Raw genomic sequence first — 21676 nt, 5'->3', positions numbered from 1 at the left:
TGCATATGCCATTTAATTTTCACTAGCGAGTCTCCTACTTGTTTTTTTTATTTTGGAAAAATTTAATATATTCTCTATTGTTAAGTACACCAGATGCTGGACTTCTGAAACAACAATTGTACTTCAGCATAATTGCATTTTCTACATTTTTTCTGTTCATGTTGCTTGTTCCTCTGATTTACCTAGAATCAGTGAATCTGAAAAACAAAAAGATTCTTTAAGCACCTGGTAAATTTCAGGTCCCACATTAGAAAATGAGCAAGCATCAATAATATTGATGGGGGTGAAAATATGACACTGTGAAAGTCTCCTACTTCTAAATGTGAAAAGGAGACTCAGAAAAGTTAAATAATTTGCCTGAAGACATACATCTGTTAAGGTAAGTAGAAAAGCTAGAATTTAAGTACAGCTCTTTTTGTGTTTGTTTGAGACAGAGTCTCACTTACTCTGTCACCCATGCTGGAGTGCAGTGATGCAATTTCAGCTCACTGCAACCTTTGCCTCCTGGGTTCAAGTGATTCTCCTGGCTCAGCCTCCTGAGTAGCTGGGACTACAGGCATGCACCACTACGCCTGCCTAATTTTTCTATTTTTAGTAGAGACAGGGTTTCACCATGTTGGCTAGGCTGGTCTCCAACTCCTGACCTCAAGTGATCCACCGCCTCGGCCTGGGATTACAATCGTGAGCCACCGTGCCCGGCTGAGTGCAGGTCTTTCTGATGTCAGATTCAAAGTTCCAATACTTTACGCTGCTTCTGCTGGTCCTACGTGATCCTTGGAGGTGCTTCTAGGGATAAAGGGAAATCAGAGATGTGGTAAAACTCTGAAACATTAAAATTCCCGGACAGATGTTAGGGGTGATTGCCCCAGCCATGATGATAAGTCCTGACCCAGCTTCCCTCTCTCTGCCAGTCTTCTTTCCTTTAATTGGAAGGTAAAAAGGAGGGGACCAATACGCCAGCCTTTAAAAAGTTGTTGTCCTCTCCATCTCTTTCTTCTCTGAGACTTATTAAGAAAGATGGGGAGGACTCCTCCCCAAATCAGGAGAAAAGAGAGTGGCTCAAGGCCCCAGAGTAAAGGCCTTGGCCATGATTCCTCCCAGGAGTCTGTTAGAAACTATAATCTACAAAGTCCTGGATGAAGAATTCCCCTGGAGAGGAAGGGAACTCACTTTTGTTAAACACTGGCCTGGGGTGAGTGCTTTACCTACATTACCTCCCCAAATTCTCACAACTCTATAAGGTAAGTACTATTATCCCTTATTATTTCCTCATTTTATGTTTGAGAGAATTGAGACTCAGAAACACCAAGCGACATGTCCAAGAGCACACAGCTAACGCATGGTAGAGACACGATTCAAACATAGGTCTGTCAGCCTCTAAAGCCTTTGCTGTATTGATTACACCCACTGTACAACAGAGCCTCTGGAAGCCACAGCCACCTGTCCTTGGGTATATCCTGCAAAGTCCCATGGCCACGTGTCTCAGTGTCTCTGATCAGTGATTTCTACAGTTCAGAGCCACCGAAGGTTTCTGGGACAGACGCCCTCTATTTGAAGCTTTCTTAGTTTGTTTATTTATTTTCTACTTTATTTATTTATACTTTCTTGCTTCTCTGGCTTAAGAAGACCAACATAGGAGTACAAGGAGGTCATGTATGTAAATAACCAGGAGCATGTGTTGGGGAGTGGGGAAGGGTTCAGAAGAAAAGGAAGGAAGGGAGGAAGGGACACATTGTATCTTTCTTTTCTTTTCTTCCTATCTAATTTGAAGAATGTGGATACACTTTGCATTGTTATTTTTTTTTTACAGTTGTCTCTTTTTAATACATAAGGAGAACTTTCTACATCTTGTAAACATATGTGACCATATTAATATGCCTAATCTGATTATTTCATTAAAATGCTTATCCCCCCACTGAAAACATTAAGGTACACATTTTAAACTGTATCTTTGTTCATATACAAAATTAAAAGTATTTGACACTAATTGCTCTGGGTTCTATCAACCTCTGTAAGCAGGCAAACCTTAGTATTTGAAGAATTTAAACCATGCCAGAGGAGTGCTTCTCAAACTTTAACATGCATATGAATAAAATGGGGGGTCTTATTAAAATACAGATACTGATCCAGTAGGTCTGCAGTGAAGCCCAAGAGACTACATTTCTAAAACTCCAGCATTGTCTCTTAATTTTGTGAGGAGTGTGTGTGTGTGTGTGTGTGTGTGTGTATGTATGTGTGTGTCTGTATTTTAAAGAGACAGAGAGAGAGAGAATTCTGCACAATGCTGACATTACCCTTGCGAGCATGTTTTCTTCTAACTTCTAATCGGGTCTGACACTCACAGGTCCTACTCCACCATCCCCCGCAACCCCCACCCCCACACTCAGCCAGCCCAGAACATCCAGGTTACCATGGGGTCCCTGCCCTTTATTGGAAATCCAAGTGACTCTCAGTATGGAGATGGGTGGGAATTCCCTCACCTTCCCCTGCCCCAATTTCCAGCCTTCAGATGCTCTGGCAGCCCAGATCCCCTCCCCATCCCTCCTTGGTCCCAGCCTAGTAAGATGGTCAACTTTCCTGCCTAATCCCTGACCCCTCCTGTTCCCTGTTCTGACACCTCCAAACACAACCCCTTTACCTTTTTTTCTTTGGTGGAAGTGACTGCATTGTTTTTAGTTGTTGTTGTTTGTTTTGTTTTTTAAATCAGCACAGAGGCTGGGAGGAGATGGTAGAGAACAAAGAAAATTTTCCTCTTACCATTGGGACTCCTTATGATCTTTGAAGGAATGAGTATAGTCTAGCCACAATGAGTATAACCTAGTCATAATGTCATCACCCAATGGGTTCATCTGACCCACTGCCCAGAAAAGCCGGGGCACTGAGAACAGCAAGTTTTCACAACAGAGAGTTTAATAAATGCAGAGCTCACTAAGCGGAAGGATAGGAATTTATTATTACTCATATTAGCCTCTCCGAAAATTTGGAGGCTAGGATTTTTTTAAGGATAGCTTGGCAGGCGGGGTGCTAGGGAATGGGGAATGCCAATTGGTTGGGTGGAGGGTGAAATCAGAGAGTCAAAGCTGTCCTCTTGAGCTGAGTCAGTTCCTGGGTGGGGGTCACAAGACCAGATGAGCCAGTTTATCAATTTGGGTAGTGCCAGCTGCACTCTGCATCAGAATGCAGAGTCGGAAAAATACCTCAAATACCAATCTTAGGTTTTACAATAGTGATGTTATCTATAGGAGAATTGGGGAGGTGGCCTCTGGCTGCATGACTCCTGAGTCATAATTTCTATTTTGTTAGTTTACAAAGGCAGTCTGGTCCCCAAGCAAGGAAGGAGGGGGTTTGTTTTGGGAAGGGGCTGTTATTATCTTTTTTTTTTCTTTTTGAGACGGAGTCTGGCTCTGTCACCCAGGCTGGAGTGCAGTGGCACAATCTTGGCTCACTGCAAGCTCCGCCTCCCGGGTTCACACCATTCTCCTGCCTCAGCCTCCCAAGTAGTTGGGACTACAGGCGCCCGCCACTACGCCTGGCTAATTTTTTGTATTTTTAGTAGAGAGGGGGTTTCACCGTGTTAGCCAGGATGGTCTTGATCTCCTGACCTCGTGATCTGCCCGCCTTGGCCTCCCAAAGTGCTAGGATTACAGGCATGATTTTTTTTTAAATTAGATTATAAACTAAATTTCTCCTATAGTTAGTTTGGCCTATGGCCAGGAATGAACAAGGGCAGCTTGGAGGTTAGAAGCAAGATAGAGTTGGTTAGGTCAGATTTCTTTCACTGTCACAATTTTCCTATGTCAGATTTTTCTCACTGTCATAATTTTTGCAAAGGTGGTTTCAATAATACAAAGCACATTGATATCCCTTACATCATATGGTCTGTGCCATATCCCTGTGAGGCCAAGAGGGTAGGACTTACCGTTGCCATTTTACTGATGAGAACACTGAGGACTCAGCGAGGAGACTTGATTTGTCAGGGCCCATCTCTAACAAGTGCCCAAACCTATACTCTTTACATGTTATTACTCAAGTGGGATAGCACAGGTAACTTTCAATGAATTCCTTAGGGCCTTAGGCTTTAGTCGAACACAGTTCACAGTTCTTTTACAGAGAAGATACAAGTAGACCATGATTACCAGTTAGGATGCAGAACTGGCACTCTCATAGCCCATGAGTTTAATGTAAGGGCAATGGGGGCAAAGGGGCACTAAAAAGACCAGAGAGATTAGGAGTAGTTCTCATGAAAGTAGGGAAAATGGAAAAGCCAACAAATAGGCAGTTCTCCTAACAAGACTGCTGACAACTCAAAAAAATCCCAAAGGTAAGAAAATATCTTAAAGATGCAGAAGGAATTTTAAAAACCAATTGTTAAAAATTGGCTCCTAGCAAAATAGTTATCTCTATTCAAAGTGGCTATTTTATCACTTGTCTTTCTCTTGGAGGCAAGGTTGGTTGGGTAATGTAAGCCAAATAAAAGCCTTTCTTATTAAAAACAAGAAAACTTTTTTGGCCATGAAACAGTAAGGCAGGGTTTTTTGTTTTTGTTTTCAATTTTTAGTTTTTGTGGGTACACAGTAGGTATATATACTTATGGGGTACATGAGATATTTTGATACAGGCATGCAACTTGTAATAATCACATCAGGGTAAATGGGGTATCCATCACCTCAAGCATTTACCCTGTCTTTGTGTTACAAACAGTCCCATTACATCTTTTAGTTGTTTTTAAATGTATAATAAATTACTGTTGTCTATAGCCATCTTTTGTGCTATCAAATACTAGATCTTATTCATTCTACTTAGTTTGAGATATATATATACATATATATGTATATATATACACATATATATGTGTATATATATACTTTTTTTTTGTTTCTTTGAGACAGAGTCTCACTCTGTCATCCAGGCTGGAGTGCAGTGGTAAGATCTCTGCTCACTGCAACCTCCGCCTCCCAGGTTCAAGCATTTCTCCTGCCTCAGCCTCCCAAGTAGCTGGGATTACAGGCATCCGCCACCATGCCCAGCTAATTTTTTGTATTTTTAGCAGAGACAGGGTTTCACCATGTTGGCCAGGCTGGTCTCAAAGTCCTGACCTCGGCCTCCCAAAGTTCTGAAATTACCTAATTATGTTTTTGTACCCATTAACCATCTCCACTACTCATAGCACCCTACCCCCAGCTCCACTCTCACCCTTCCCAGTCTCTGGTAATTATCATTCTGCTCTCTAACTCCATGAGTTCAAGGCAGGGGTTTTTTCAAAGCCTAGGGAGGGACATGGGATTACTCATGCTACAGACTTTCCAGTTGGTTATACAAATACTCCCATGAAATTGACTTCATGATTTATTTAACTTACTGCAAAAGTAAAAAATTATAAAATGACCATCATTTTGCCCTTTTTGAAACATACTCAGGTACTGAAAAGTTATGATAATAGCCACTAGTGTCTATTGGGTGACAATTAACTGCTAGACAGTGTGCTTTACCTATATTATCGCTAAGTCTCATGAAATTACTGTCAGGGAGTTATTATTTTCCCTACTTTACTTATAGGGACTAGGCTTACAGGGATTGAGCAAACTTGCCCGAGATCACACAGCTAGTATGTGGTTGAGCTGGTCTGACTCCATGACTTGTGTTCTTTGTATTCTGTTCCTTTCTCATTCAATAAACAAACATGGAAAATATTACATATGATGGATTTCATTAATCTTTTCCTTCCATTGTAAATATTAAAAATGTTATTTTAAAAAAATAGAGAACTATAGTACATGATCTGCATCGTATAGAATCTGGCTGGGCGCAGTGGCTTACACCTGTAATCCCAGCACTTTGGGAGGCCAAGGCGGGTGGATCATTTGAGGTCAGGAGTTCAAAACCAGCCTGACCAACATGGTGAAACCCTGTCTCTACTAAAATACAAAAAAAAATTAGCCGGGCATGGTGGCACATGCCTGTAATCTCAGATACTCAGGAGGCTGAGGCAGGAGAATCACTTGAACCAAGGAGGTGGAGGTTGCAGTGAGCCAAGATCATGCCACTGCCCTCCAGCCTGGGCGACAGAGCAAGACTCCCTCTCAAAAAATAAAAATAAAATAAAAAAAGAATCTTAAATTCTGCTTGCATTTCTTGTTGAACCTTTTCCTTTTACTATGGTCTTTTAGTTTTTCTGATTAAGGAGAGAACCTTTTTTGTTGCCCAGGCTGGAGTGCAATGGCGCTATCTCAGCTCACTGCAACCTCCAACTCCCTAGTTCAAGGGATTTTCCTGCCTCAGCCTCCCGAGTAGCTGGGATTACAGGCACGTGCCACCATGCCCAGCTAATTTTTGTATTTTTAGTAGAGACAGGGTTTCGCCATGTTGGTCAGGCTGGTCTCGAACTCCTGACCTCAGGATCCGCCCGCCTCGGCCTCCCAAAGTTCTGGGATTACAGGGGTGAGCCACTGCGCCCAGCCACCTTTTTAAAGGCATCTATATGTAAGTATCATCAGAAGTAGGCACTATCAATCTGAGCTGGAGCAAGAGCCAGTGGGCACCAATTTGGAGGCTAGCAGAGTGATAAAAGTTACTTCACAACCTTCTAAAATAGTGTTCAGAGGCATAAGGAGCATAGATTCTTGGGAAACTAAATTAACTTTGTTCTAGAGCAGATCAGCTAGGGCAGTACAGGATTTTGGACCCTCTGTGTTATTAATAACCCTTGTATTTCCTTGTCTAACCCAAATTATTGATTACAACCTCTGGGCCAGTAGCCTGGGAATATGCATTTAGCAAGGGTCTCCAGGTGCTTTTTAAGCCCTTCGACATTTAGGCACCTAGTTTTAATAATCCTGTTGTTTTCACTTCAACAGGTAAAATCTGTCAGCATCTTTGACAATTTCCTTCTTACAAATGATGAAGAGTTTGCTCAAAAAGTTAGAAATAAGACCTGGGGAATGTCTGACTCCTCAGTTGTTCACTATTCTTTGCATTTCAAAAATCAGCCACATAGTCTTTGTCTCATTTTTGGTCACTCGGCCCTGAGAGGTGGGAGAAAGAACTCATGTTCACTGGACATCTATAATTGTGTACTTGTGGCTCTGTCAGCACTTTCCAAACGCTATCCCACTTAGCCCTAAAACAATCCAGCAAGACAGATATTATTACTTCCATTTTTCAGGTGTAGGAACTGAAATTCAGAGTATAAAGTACCCAAAGTCATCCGCAGCCTTTGACTTGTTGAAGTTTTGCCTTCCATTTTGAGTCACAAACTATGAGTCTCTTATATTTTTCTTTATAGTTTTACTCTTCATGTTTATTAAATTTTTAACCGTCTAGAGTCTACTCTTGTATAGGATGTAGAATTGTTGAAATATGTTAATTATACTATCCAAGCCTTGCTGTCTCAGTTTCTGAGAGGAGGATGTTCAAGTCTTCAGCTACAATTATGCATCTGTTTTTCCCTGCAGTTTCTCTCTCTCTCTCCCTCTGTGTGTGTATGTATATGTATTTATATTTATACCTGTATCTGTAAGAGACAGAGTCTTCCTGTGTCTGCACAGAGTGCAGTGGTGTGATTGTGACTCACTGCTGCTTCAAACTCCTGGGCTCAAGCAATCCTCCCACCTTAGCCTCTCGAGTAGCTAGGACTACAGAAGTGCAGAAGTGTGCCACCACATCCAGCTAACTTAAAAACAAATTTTTTTTGGCCAGGTGGGGTGGCTCACGCCTGTAATCCCAACAGTTTGGGAGGCTGAGGCGGGTGGATCACCTGAGGTCAGGAGTTTGAGACCAGCCTGAACAGCATGGAGAAACCCCTGTCTCTATTAAAAACACAAAATTAGCCAGGTGTGGTGGCGGATGCCTGTAATCCCAGGTACTCGGGAGGCTGAGGCAGGAGAATCGCTTGAACACGGGAGGCGGAGGTTGCAGTGAGCCGAGATGCGCCATTGCACTCCAGCCTGGCAACAAGAGTGAAACTCTGTCTCAAAAAAAAAAAATTTTTTTTTAGAGATGGGATCTTGCTATGTTGCCCAGGCTGGTTTCAAACTCCTGGCCTCTCATGCTCCTTTTGTGTGTCAGACTATCTGCTGTAGTGCATTGATCTAGAAGGGAGCTACTGAGCTCATTTTCTTTTTTTTTGTTTGTTTTGTTTTGGTTTTTGTTGTCGTTGAGACAGGGTCTTGCTTCTTGGCCCAGGCTGGGGTGTGGTGGTGAGAATACAGCTCACTACAGACTCAACTCCCCAGGCTCAAGTGATCCTCCTGCCTCAGCCTCCCAAGTAGCTGAGACTACAAATGCATGCCACCATGCCAGGTTAATTTTTTTTAACGTTTTTGTAGAGATGGGGTCTTGCCGTGTTGTCCAGGCTGGTCTGTAACTCCTGGGTTCAAGCAATCCACCTGCCTCAGCCTCCCAAAGTGTTGGGATTACAGAAAATAGGCTCAGGCTCAGGATGGCTACGAGAAAGAAGGAAGGTAATGAGTGCTGTTTGTTTACCAGCTTCCCCGGCCTCCTAGAACTATTTTGTGGGTGGAGTGATACTTGGGGCAATGGCCTCATGACCCTGACAAGCTCTATCCAGATGTTCTGGTTCTGAAGGAAGGTCCATTCAAAAGCAGGTTTGTGGCCAATACTTGATTACCCAATAGGCAGATTAAGCTTATGCTTAAAGCACCTGCAAAAACACAGGCACAAAAAAAAGTTTGTTTTTTTTTTTAAAGAACTTTGATACTTAGTATTTCCTTTAAAAAAAAATGGAAAGACCAGGTATGGTGGCCCACGACTATAATCCCAGCACTTTGGGAGGCTGAGGTGGGTGGATCACTAGGTCAGGAGTTCAAGACAAGCCTGGCCAAGATGGTGAAACCCCACCTCTACTAAAAATAAAAAAATTAGCCGGGCATGGTGGTGGGTGCCTGTAATCCCAGCTACTAGGGAGGCTGAGACAGGAGAATCACTTGAACCTGGGAGGCGGAGGTTGCAGTGAGCTGAGATTGGACCACTGCACTCCAATCTGGGCAACAGCATGAGCCACCGTCTAAAAAAAAAATTGAAGTAGTCATTCTGGGAAAAATTATTAGACCTTGTAATACTTTTTAGTCTGGTTTTGTCTTGTTTTACTTTGGGATTATATCTAAAATTGTTTTGTGAAGGTACTTTTTCATATTGGTTAAGAGTTTGAACTTTGGAGCTAGACTGCTTGAGTTCAAATCCAGGCTCCATTATGTATTAGCTGTATGAACTTAGGCAAGTTATTTAACTGCTCTTCATCTATAAGTGGAGAATAATGATAGCCTCTATCTTATAAGTTCCTGGTATATAGTAAGTGCTCAATACATGGTAGCTATTATTATTAAACCATACATTCACTTGACAAGTACTTGAGTACCTGTTCAAAGCACTGTTGTAAGTGCTGGGGTTATAGTAGTGAAATAAAACAGAGAAGTTTCTACCTTCATGGGGCTTACTTTCAGTTTGAGGAGACCAACAAGAAAAGTATAAGGAAGTCTGAACCTCAGATCGCTCATCTAGAAAGTAGAACAAGTAACAAACCTCATAATTTGCTGTGAGGAATATACATAACGTGTGTAGATTGCCTATTATAGCACTGTGGTTAGCAAGGCAGTAGGCATTCAACAAATATTTGCTAAATTGGAACCAATTTTATTTACGAACAAACTAAACACACACACACACACACACACACACACACACATTTCTATTCACCCTACACATGCTGAAACTTTGTATGTAAATAAACACTATCCCGGAAATCTGAAGACTGTTGGAAGGCTGGACACGGTGTCTCACACCTGTAATCCCAGCACTCTGGAAGGCTGAGGTAGGTGGATCTCCTGAGCTTAGGAGTTCAAGACCAGCCTAAGCAACATAGTGAACCCCCATCCCTATGAAAAATACAAAAAAAAAAATTAGCCAGGTGTAGTGGCATGTGCCTGTAGTCCCAGCTACTCAGGAGGCTGAGGTGGGAGGACCCCTTGAGCCCAGGAGGCGGAGGTTGCATTGAGCCAAGATGACACCATTGCACTCCAGCTTGGATGACAGAGTAAGACCCTGTCTCAAAAAATAAATAAGTAAATAAATAAATAAATAAATAAATAAATGACTGTTGGAAGATGCCAGATATTTCTAAAGTTGGTTAACTTTGTTTATACTATCTGTAAATTATTTTGAAATTCTACATTCTAAACAGGACCTAAGAGAAGCAATGGAGAGAACTTTATGAAGAAATTGAAAAAAGAAAGCAGGCAGAAGAGGCCAAGAAGTAAAAGGAAACGGATGAAGAAAAGGAAGATGGCATTTGGGGAATTGAAGAAGAGGGAAATGAATTGGATCCCACTACAGAGCCAGGAAATGACAGGGAGATGCAGGAACATGATGCTGACAGAGTGTTTCTGGGTAAAAATGAGGAAGTCCTTGTTGACCAGAAGGGTGAACTGTAACTGGGATTGTGGAGGCAAATGTTAGGAGGAGAAATATTCATGAGGTTGGTACAATTTGGGGAGCAAAATAACTTACTTTTTTGAAATAAACTTTGGATTTGTATTTCCATCCCGCTCCCTTTGCTCTGTGTGACCTGGGGAAAGTCACACTGCCTCTTGGGGCTTCTGTTTCCTTATTAGTAGAAAGGGAGTGATCATTTCTGTTTTATGAGGTTGTAGGGATTAAATGAACTAATGTATGTAAAGTGCCTGATACAAATAGGTAGTCAAAAAATGGTTGCTATCACTACTATCATTATTATGGTGTTTATGAAATTAGTTATCAGTAAATAAACTTCTGTATAAACTTAATCCTCACTTTCAATTTATCCCAGGACACCCAAGGATTTTATTTTGTTTAAATGTATGGGGCCAGGCACAGTGGCTCTTGCCTGTAATCCCAGCACTTTGGGAGGCTAAGGTGGGTCGATCACCTGAGGTCAGGAGTTTAAGACCAGCCTGGCTAATGTGGTGAAACCCTGTCTCTACTAAAAATACAAAAAATTAGCTGGGCTTGGTGGCGGGCACCTGTAATTCCAGCTACTTGGGAGGCTGAGGCAGGAGCATTGCTTGAACCTGGGAGGCGAAAGTTGCAGTGGGCCGAGATCGCACAACTGCACTCCAGCCTGGGTAACAGAGCGAGACTCCGTCTCAAAAAATAAATAAAATAAAATAAAATAAAAACGTATGTATTAGTATTTACTGAGCAGTGCTGATGGTTATACTTGTGGACAGATGATGTTTTCCTCTTGCAGATGTATCAAGCACTTAACAACTAGATTTCCCCCTAACATAAGAAAAAATACTTTGTGAAAATCTATTTGCTTTTCTGCTGTTTTGTGCCCTAACTTTTAAATAATTGTCACTTGTTTGCAAGTTTGCTAGTCTCATATTTATTTTTTTCTGTACTACCTGCTCACGTGTCATCATGCACATTCTTGTAGCTCTTTATAGATTAGAAAGCACTTTGCCATAAATTTGTGGAGCTTCTACAATGTGCTCATCTAATCCTCATAGCAGCCATTGTAGAGGATACCATTCTTATCTTCATTTTACAGATGCGGAAACTGCTCAGAGTGGGTAAGTCACTTGCTCAAGGTTAAACAGCTAGTAAGGGACAGGACCAGTCTCTCAAGCTTGTCTGGTTTCGAAGTTTATACTTCCATAAAACAATAACCCTATAAATAACTCTAACAAAGCACTATAAAAGAAAACAGTTTATCCTTCCACTGCACCAGGCTGTGGAATGAGTGAGTGAATATCTATTACTATTGAATACATAAAGTAGGCAACCGACATTCCACATGGAAAAAAAATGCCTTTTTAAGTGCTTTTTGTTTTGTTTTGTTTTGAGACAGAGTCTTGCTCTGTTGCCCAGGCTGGAGTGCAGTGGCACAATCTCAGCTTACTGTAACCTCCACCTCCAGGGTTTAAGCCATCCTCCTGCCTCAGCCTCCCGAGTAGCTTGGGAGTACAGGCGTGTGCCACCACATCTGGCTAATTTTTGTATTTTTAGTAGAGACAGTGTTTTGTCATGTTGGCCAGGCTGGTCCCTAACTCCTGACCTCAAGTGATCTGCCCATCTCAGCCTCCCAAACTGCTGGGATTACAGGCGTAGGCCAGTGTACCTGCCCTTCAAATGTATTTTTAAATGACTATATCCAACAGCCACGGAGTCAGACCCACAGACATGGCTGTCATACAGTTCAGTAAATGATAAGCCAGGGCTCTGGAACATAGCAGGTGCAGGATCTGGAACATAGTAGGTGCTCAGTAAAAATTAGTTGAATAAATGAACAATTTTCTGCCTGGTAGTTTTGGTGGTTTGAGAAAAGACTTCATGAAGGAAGTGAGTTTTGAGGCGGCTCTTAAAGAATGCATGAGTGTGCATCTTTGGGGGAAGGTTAAAAACAAAAAAGAATGCACAAGTCTGCCCAAAGGAGAAGGGGATGTGTGGACCAGATTTCAGAGTCAAAGAGCAGAGCACCAGATGACAGGAAGTAGGGTGGTGAGTTCAGGGAGCAGCAGTGAGAACTTCTTCCTTCCTCCCTGTAGACTGGTGCCTGGTGTGGTTTCTAGACCTTACAACCTTTGGAATATTCTGGTTTGGAAAACTTGACTTTATACCAATTTCTACAGCCTGAGAGTCTTCCTGTTGTGAAAAAGAGCTAAGCTTCAGGGGCTGAGGCTAAATATTTTGTTTTGGGGCTGGAGGACTGGTGTGGATGGTGATTTATATTTTAGGGATGCCAGTCTGATATGAGCATTGTTTACTATAAATGTCTGCTCTGATTGCTCAGATGTATGCTCTACCAATTGTTACATATTTTCAGTATCACCAGATGAAGATATTTTCAGGCAGGATTTTGTAATCCTTGTTTACAGTAAGGATTCATTTGAATATTTTTTAAAGCTGCTGCTCTCACCTTTGATAAATTTTCTTTTGCCTTTTATTTTGATTGACTGTGCATACACTGTTTCAGAAATTATGGTATGCCAGACATGGTGGCCCACACCTGTAATCCCAGGACTGAGGGAGGTCGAGGCAGGAGGATCACTTGAGCCCAGGAGTTCTAGACCAGCCTGGGCAACATAGTGGAACTCCATCCCCACGAAAAAATTAAAAATCAGCTGGGCATCGTGGAGCATGTTTGTAGTCCCAGCTACCCTGAGGTTAGAGGATCGCTTGAGCCCAGGAGATAGAGGCTTCAGTGAGCTGAGATGATGCCACTGCATTCCAGCCTATGCAACAGAGCAAGACCTTGTTTCAAAAAAATAAAAACCAAGCTAGGTGTGGTGGCTCACACATGTAATCTCAGCACTTTAGGAGGCCAAGGCAGAAGGATCACTTGAGCCCAGGAGTTCAAGACCAACCTGGGCAACACAGCAAGACTCTGTCTCTATAAAAAATCAAAATAAAAAAAATCCAAACCAAACAAAAAGAAATTGTAATTTTAACAAGAAAAAAATGCCTGCATAATTCTACCCATTCTGCACATAGACTGAAATTTTTTGTGTTTCTTTCCAGGACACATCTTTTGAACACCACCATTCTGCAACTGAACCATACTCCTCCAGATGATTTTTTTAAAAATTATGATTGTATATTTAATTTTGAAAATTAATAGGTATTCAGTGTAGAAATCTGGAGTCAACATATGTATTAGGAAGAAAGTTAATATTATTATTGTATAATATACAATATTATTATATTTCCTTCCAGTTTTGAGGATTTAATTAATCACACTACTTAGTACATGGTAGTTTATCATCTTTGGTTGGTGACAATGTCACTTCTAAATTTTATTTTATTTTATTTATATATATATATTTGAGATAGGATCTCACTCTGTCATCCAAGCTGGAGTGTAGTAGTGCAATCTTGGCTCCCTGCAGCTTCGACCTCCTGGGTTCAAGGCAATCCTCCTACCTCAGCCTCCCAAGTAGCTGGGACTACAGCTACAGCTGCACACCACCATGCCCAGCTAATTTTTGTATTTTTAGTAGAGATGGGGTTTCGCCATGTTGCTCAGGCTGGTTTCAAACTCCTCGGCTCAAGTGATCCACCTGCCTTGGCCTCCCAAAGTGCTGGGATTCACAGGTGAACCACCGTGCCCTACCTATTTGTCCATTTTTTTCTCTTTTATTCCTTTTCTGTTTCCCACTTAGATAATTAAGTTTTATTTAAAGTGTCTGTTATTTTTATTTGTATCTGTTCTTATAAAAAGTGAATTTTTGTTTTGTATTAATACATTTTTAATTTCTGCAAATAACATCATGTTTTAATCGCATTTTTTCTTCATATTTTTCACTGAGCACTGTTTTAAAATGCCTTCATCTTGCTGTGTATGCATCTAATCCATTGCTTTTGATTGTTGCATAATATTTTACAATACAACATCTACCACATTTTAGCTATCTCCTCTCCATATGATAACCAGGTTGTCTTTGAATCCCTATGACCATAAATAGCACACAATAAATATTTTAATGCAGAACCCCTATGTGCCTGCATAAGAATTTCTTTGGGATATATCCCAGGAGTCTAACTGCAAGCTCATAGAGTGTATGAGTTCTGAATTTGCATACTTCATGTCAGATTGTGATCCACAGTGGCTGTACCAGTCCATACACCCACCAGAGTTCCAGCATCCCCACAACTCCACCAGCTGGCATTATCAAGCATTCTAATTTCTGTAGCTTAGTAGATGTAAAAGGATAGTACGTTGCTGATTTAATTAGCATTTCTGTGGTACTTTGGGCATCTCTTCATATGCCTTTTGATTTTTGGAATTCCTCTCTGTTTATATCTTTTTCTCTCTTTTTTTGGTGATAATGTTCATGCCAACTATTTGTATGTTTTGCTTTTATTTTTTCCTAAGGTTTGCTGCCCTCTTATTTATTTACCAGTTTTGTGTGTTGCGTATTTTGAACATATTCTCCCATTCTCTTATCTAGTTATGTTGTGTTTTTTGTTTTTTTTTTTTGAGACAGAGTCTGGCTCTGTCGCCCAGGCTGGAGTGCAGTGGCACGATCTCGGCTCACTGCAAGCTCCGCCTCCCGGGTTCATGCCATTCTCCTGTCTCAGCCTCCTGAGTAGCTGGGACTATAGGTGCCCTTCATCATGCCTAGCTAATTTTTTGTATTTTTAGTAGAGACAGGTTTTCACCGTGTTAGCCAGGATGGTCTCGATCTCCTGACCTCGTGATCCACCCGCCTCGGCATCCCAAAGTGCTGGGATTACAGGCGTGAGCCACCGCGCCCAGCCATGTTGTCTTTTATCTAGTTATTTTGTTCAACAATCTTCTTTGTTGAACAGAAATTCTTAATTTTAATGTCATTATATTCATCAATATTTTTGTCTTATAGCCTGGTGTGGTGGCTCACACCTGTAATCCTAGCACTTTGGGAGTCCAAGGCAGGCAGATCGCTTGCGCTCAGGAATTCGAGACCAGCCTGGGCAACATGGTGAAACCCCATCTCTACAATAAACACAACAAATTAGCCGAGCATGGTGGCTGATACCTGTAGTCCCAGCTACTTGGGGGCTGAGGTGAGAGGATCGCTTGAGCCCAGGAGGTTGAGGCTGCAGTGAGCTGAGATTGCGCCACTGCACTCCAGTCTGGGTGACAAAGTGAGACCCTGTCTCAAAAAAAATTGTCTTACAGTCTGTGCATTTGAAGTTTTGCCTTTCCTTTTCAGTCACAAACTATAATTATCTCATATTTTTCTTTGTTAGTTTTTCACATTTATTATGTTTTTAACCCTCCTAGAGTCTACTCTTATACGATGTAGAATTGTTGACATATGGTAATTATACTATTCAAGCCTTGATATATCAGTTTCTGAGAGAGGGATGTTAAAGTCTTCAGCTATAATTAAGCATCTCTTGATTTTTCTCTGCAGTTGTTTTGTGTGTGTGTTTGTTTGTGTGTAGCTGGAATACAGTGGCATGATCATGGCTCACTCTGGCCTCAAACTCCTGCACTCAAGCGATCCTCTCACCTCAGCCTCCTGAGTAGCTAGGACTACAGAATTGTTCCACCATGCTGGTAAATTTTTATTTTATTTTTTATAGAGATGTGGTCTTGCTATGGTGCTTGTCTTGAACTCCTGGCCTTAAGTTATCCTCTCACCTCAGCCTCCCAAAGCACTGGGATTATAGGTGTGAGCCACTGCACCTGGCTCAGTTATGTTTATTTTTTGAAACAGGTGGGACTGTAGCTGGGACTACAGGTGTATGCCACCACGCCTGGATAATTTTTTTATTTTTTATTTTTAGTAGTGACAGAGTTTCGCCATGTTTGTCCAGGTTGAGTTCTGTATATTTTAAGACTGTATGATTAGGTGCATCTGTGTGTTTTGCCTGTTGTATCTATGTATTTGTCTATTGTTCCTTTTAAGAAAAAATAATGACTTTCCATCTCATCTTTTGAAACTAAAATTCCTCTTTGACAGATAATAAGATCGCAACCCAGTTCACATTTGCCTGGTTTATCTTTCTTTTTATTTTTAATCTATCTCTTTAAGTATGTCTCTGGGTCGGATGTGGTGGCTCACGCCTGTAATCCCAGCACATTGGGAGGCCAAGGCAGGCAGATCACTTGAGGTCAAGAGTTTGAGACAAGCCTGGCCAACATGGTGAAACCCTGTCTCTACTAAAAATACAAAAATTAGCCAGGAGTGGTAGTGGGCACCTGTAATCCCAGCTACTTGGGAGGCTGAGGCAGGAGAATTGCTTGAGCCTGGGAGGTGGATGTTGCAGTGAGCCGAGATCAAGCCACTGCACTCCAGCCTGGGTGACAGAGTGAAACTCCATCTCAAAAAAAAAAAAAAAAAAAAAAAAGCATGTCTCTTAAAGTTAGTTTACTGTTGGATGTAATTTTTAAAAATCCCATTGGTGAGATTCACTTTTTTACATTTAATGTTATTATTATATATTAAGATTTAGTTCTATCCTCCATTTACTCTACATTCTTTTTTTATTTTTAATCTCCATTTCTGCTTTCCATTGAATAGGCTGAATTATCTTCTGCTGGTTTAAAATTTATACATAATTTTTTTCCTTATGGTGGTAGCCCTTAACTTCAGACTCACACCCATGGGCTTAAGAGAGCTTCTCTCTCTCAACAGTTTGAACAAAAGCCTACACGAAAGTTCCAAGCTTGATTCTCAAAGAGTCAAGTGTTATGTGTTCACGCTGATCGAATCAATGTTGCTGAAGCAAGGGTTATTTGATCTTCAAAGGAAACACAGAGTACCAGTCCCAAAAGAAGGGAAATGGAGGCTAAGAGATCGTAAAATGGTATATGTCCACATCTTTCTTTTTTTTTCCTTCAGAGATTCAGTCTTACTATGTTGCCCAGGCTGGACTCAAACTTTTGAACTGTCAAGCTCCTGGTTCAAGTAATCCTTCTGCCTCAACCTCCCAAGTAGCTGGGGTTACAGGTGTGTGCCACCACAGCTAGCTTCACATCTTCTCTCATATGAAATAAACTCCTTTGAGCCTCAGTTTCTTCATCTGTGAAATGGCAATGATAATACCTATCTCCAAGGGGTGATATGAACAGCAAATTGGGTAACAGATATGAATGTTCCTTGTGAATCATCAAGTGCTACGCAAAGTTTAGTCATTATTCTCACTCTTGCATTCATCACATGGTATTATTGACATTTGTTTAGGTGTTGGTATTTATCTATAATGCTGCAAGGGAAGTATTGTCCTAGCCAGCATTCTCCCTAAAGTGTGCTGATGGACGTAGAATTGATTTTCATTTCTTGAGAATAATGAGTGGGCATGATGTCAGCACTATGTTTGACCTAGGGGTCAGTTTCCTTCCAAAGAGGTCTACAGTGCTGAGGCAGCTAACTTACTAGCAGACTGGCCAGACTGCACACAGCTGAAAGCTTGGCTCCAGTTTCTTCTCTGCTTTGAGTTAGATGTGTGACTTTTGCCAGGTCACTTAAACTCTCTGAGCCTCAAAGTTGAGGCCAGGCGCAGTGGCTCACGCCTGTAATCCCAGCACTTTGGGAGGCTGAGGCGGGTGGATCACGAGGTCAGGAGATCAAGACCACCCTGGCTAACACGGTGAAATCCCGTCTCTACTAATGATACAAAAAATTAGCCGGGCATGGTGGCACGTGCCTGTAGTCCCAGCTACCCAGGAGGCTGAGGCAGGAGAATCGATTGAACCCAGGAGGTGAAGGTTGCAGTGAGCTGAGATGGCGCCACTGCACTCCAGTCCGGGGGCCAGAGTGAGACTCCGTCTCAAAAAAAACAAAAAAACCTCTCTGAGTCTCAAAGTACTTGCCTGAAAAATGGAGGTTGTAAGAAGACCTGCCTCTTAGAGTTGTGGTAGGATTAAGAAGATTATATGCAAAAGGCCTTGGCCTAGGAGAAGATCTCAAGTTTATCAGACACAAATTCAAATCTCTTTATTGGGCATTTACTAATTTCCATCCTGATGCATTAAGACTAGTTTAAGTGCACGTTCTTTCTCATCTCTGAGATACAATAAATTGATCTGTTTCCTTGGAGAAATGGTTATTTCTCTCCAGGCCTTATGTTTTCAGAATTTGGACCAGGAATCCTTGCCCCAGGATTACAGTCTCACAAGAAAAATCCTGTTTCTTATAGGCACCTGGAGTTGATAATTCTGCTTCTTTTTACACATGAAGGATTTAGTTTCAGACTATACTGAAAGATAGTGTATATCTGCTCTGTTTACTGAAATAGGTTTGCCCTCTATGTGATTGTTCATAAACCTACAATAATCCCATGAATTAGGCCCTGATATCCCCATTTTACCGATAAGGAAGTGGAAGTTCACATAAATCAAGTGACAAAATCAAGCTGATCATGAAAAGGGAGGTGGGCTTTGGAGTCAGACAGACCTGAGTTAGGATTCCAGCACTGTATTTACTAGATTTTGAACTTTGGTCCAGTGACCTAGTTTCTTAAGTTTCAGTGTCCTCATCTGTAAAGTTGGGATTATAATAACATATACCTTACATGCATGTTGTGAGGTTGAATTGAGAGAGTATGTATAAAGTAGAGTGCCTGGCACATGGTAATTATTCCATAAATTCTTAGACACTTGATAATTATACTGGGAGCCCAGAGCCCATAGAACCTACCTATCGAGTGCTGCCTTATAGGAAACTTCAATTATCATCAAGCTGTTTTAGAACTTTTCACTGGCCGTTCAAATGGTTGCCCTTAAAAATCCCTTGAGCTGTGATTCAAGATTAAAGTCCCAGGTAGGAAATGAGGGCAACAAGATATGTATAGTGAAAGGAGACCTTGCGTGGGAGTCTAGAGATCTGGGATGTAATGATGACTCTTACTCAGTGTGTGTGGGACCTTAGGCATAGCACTCTATCTTCCCAGCCTCAGTTTTATTATTTGTTAAATGGAAACTACTCTTTACCTCACTGGAGGTATAAATGCAGATGGATAAAAATGCTCTTTTTGCAATTTTAGAAAGGCTGTATATGCCAGGTGCAGTGGTTTAAGCCTGTAATCCCAGCACTTTGGGAGGCCAGGGTGGATGGACTGCTTTGAGCTCAGCAGTTTGAGACCAGCCTGGGCAACGTGGTGAAACCCCATCTCTACTAAAAATTCAAAAACTAGCTGGGCATGGTGACATACACCTGTAGTCCTAGATACACAAGAGGCTGAGGTGGGAGGATGGCTTGAGCCTGGGAGGTAGAGGTTGCAGTGACCTAAGATCGTGCCACTGCACTTCAGCCTGGGTGACAGAGCCAGACCCTGTCTCAAAAAATAAAAAAAAAAAGGCTGGGTAAATGTGAGTGCTTTCAATTTGTGTTTACTATTCTCCCCAGAGGGAGAGTAAACTGGACTCGACCATAACCTGAGACCTTCCTCCCAGAGAGCAACTACTGGGAAGCCCAGCCCTTAAGTGAGGCCTTGTTAACTATTTGTTGCTTCTGCTGCAACAACTTTTGCTCAAATATCAGTCACCAAGCCTGCTACATCCTCATCCTTGCAGAAAGGCAGCACTATGCTGACCATCCCCACCCACAGCCTTCTCTAACACAGCTTCTGGACTAAGACTGGGAATATGACCCAAAGGCAAGCAACCCATGGGCTTGCCAATGACCTACAAATGTGTCTTGGCTCCTAAAATATGAGTTGGACAAATCAATATTTCTCTGTCAGGAATTTGAATCAGGCAGCATGAGGTGATTGAGGCAATTAGCAGCAATAAAAACTATGACTAACAGGATGTAAAGAGAGAGGCCATGAGTTTGAGTAGGGGTATGTGTGGGAGGAGATGGAGTGTAGATGATGACAAACCAAAGTGATAAAGAAGCAGAAATTATGAATGAACAGATCTATGAAGTAGAAAAGATAATATATGGATAGACAACAGATATTTCTAGAGTTCCTTCTATGAGCTGGAAACTGTGTTTGGCTCTGAACATAATGAAAGTGACTAAGACTCAGCCTCTGCCTTCACAACACTTAATTTTAGTGGGGAAGAGAGACAAACAAGCAAACAAACAAATAAATAATTACAATTTTTTTTTGAGACAGAGTCTCACTCTGTTGCCTAGGCTGGAGTGCAATAGCATGATCTTGGCTCACTGCAACCTCTGCCTCTCGGGTTCAAGCGATTCTCCTGCCTCAGCCTCCTGAATAGCTGGGATTGCAGGTGCGCGCCACCATGCCTGAGTAATTTTTTTTTTGTTTTTTTTTTTTGAGATGGAGTCTCATTCTGTTGCCTAGGCTGGAGTGCAGTGGCGCTATCTTGGCTGACTGCAGCCTCCACCTCCCAGGTTCAAGCAATTCTCCTGCCTCAGCCTCCCAAGTAGCTGGGATTACAGACGCCCACCACCCCACCTGGCTAATTTTTGTATTTTTAGTAGAGACGGGGTTTCACCATGTTGGCCAGGCTGGTCTGGAATTCCTGACCTCAAGTGATTTGCCCACCTTGACCTCCCAAAGTGCTGGATTACAGGCGTGAGCCACCACACCTGGCCAACAAAAAAAATTTTTTTTTTTTTTGAGACAGAGTCTTGCTCTGCGGCCAGGCTGGAGTGCAGTGGTGCTATCTTGGCCCACTGCAACCTCCACCTCCCAGGTTCAAGTGATTCTCCTGCCTCAGCCTCCTGAGTAGCTGGGACTGCAGGCGTGCGCCACCACGCCCAGCTAATTTTTTTTTTTTAGTAGAGATGGGGTTTCACAATGTTGGCCAGGATGGTCTTGCTCTCTTGACCTCGTGATCTGCCCACCTCGGCCTCCTAAAGTGCTGGGATTACAGGCATGAACCACCACGCCCGGCTAACAAATTGTTTTAAAGGCTAAGAAGAAAACAAATATGGGGCCAAGATGGAACATATCAGGGAGGGTCACTAATGATCTTGGCAGGAGTAGGGAGGGACCTACTTAAGAAATAGCATGATTCTAATTAATGGTGTCCAGCTTTAAAAAAAAAATTTAAAATAATAATTAAAAAAAGCAATGGGAGGGAGAGTCTCTCTGGACAGAAAATTAAAATGAGACCTAAAGAATGAGAAGGATCCAGCTGTGTGAAGATCAGAGAAAACAATATTTGACATTTCTCAGAATAGGGGATTTAAAAGAAAAAAAGAAGAATACTTGAGATAGAGGATGTTTAAGGCCTGCTGGCAGGAAAGAGCTTATCATGTTCAAGGAAGATGATGGG

General features: G+C 41.9%; 1 protein-coding gene and 1 long non-coding RNA gene across 7 annotated transcripts in view; both read right to left on the bottom strand.

The window, feature by feature from the left end:
• The window catches only part of OSBPL9 (oxysterol binding protein like 9), a 270948-nt gene that overhangs the window by 227552 nt on the left and 21720 nt on the right, over positions 1 to 21676 (bottom strand). For 2 of the 4 annotated variants that reach the window (NM_001416294.1, NM_001416293.1), the window contains exon 2: positions 645 to 786. The exons of the other annotated variants lie outside the window; for them this stretch is intronic. The gene's annotated coding sequence lies outside the window, so the exon portion shown is untranslated. The remainder of the gene's footprint in view (positions 1 to 644; positions 787 to 21676) is intronic. 4 annotated transcript variants of the gene reach the window in all.
• Positions 1 to 21676, bottom strand: part of EPS15-AS1 (EPS15 antisense RNA 1) — a 61039-nt gene that overhangs the window by 17643 nt on the left and 21720 nt on the right. Inside the window, exons 2-3 of one of the 3 annotated variants that reach the window (NR_183652.1) lie at positions 645 to 786; positions 31 to 197 (exon numbers count right to left, since the gene is read on the bottom strand). This is a non-coding gene — a long non-coding RNA (EPS15 antisense RNA 1). Of the gene's footprint in view, positions 1 to 30; positions 198 to 644; positions 787 to 21676 lie in introns of those variants that run through there. The other 2 variants (NR_183653.1, NR_183651.1) reach the window with 2 other exon arrangements.

Source organism: Homo sapiens, chromosome 1 (assembly GCF_000001405.40).
Source record: "Homo sapiens chromosome 1, GRCh38.p14 Primary Assembly".
NCBI lineage: Eukaryota > Metazoa > Chordata > Mammalia > Primates > Hominidae > Homo > Homo sapiens.
The sequence above is the reverse complement of the archived record's forward strand: the minus strand, read 5'-3'. Positions and strand labels throughout refer to the sequence as shown.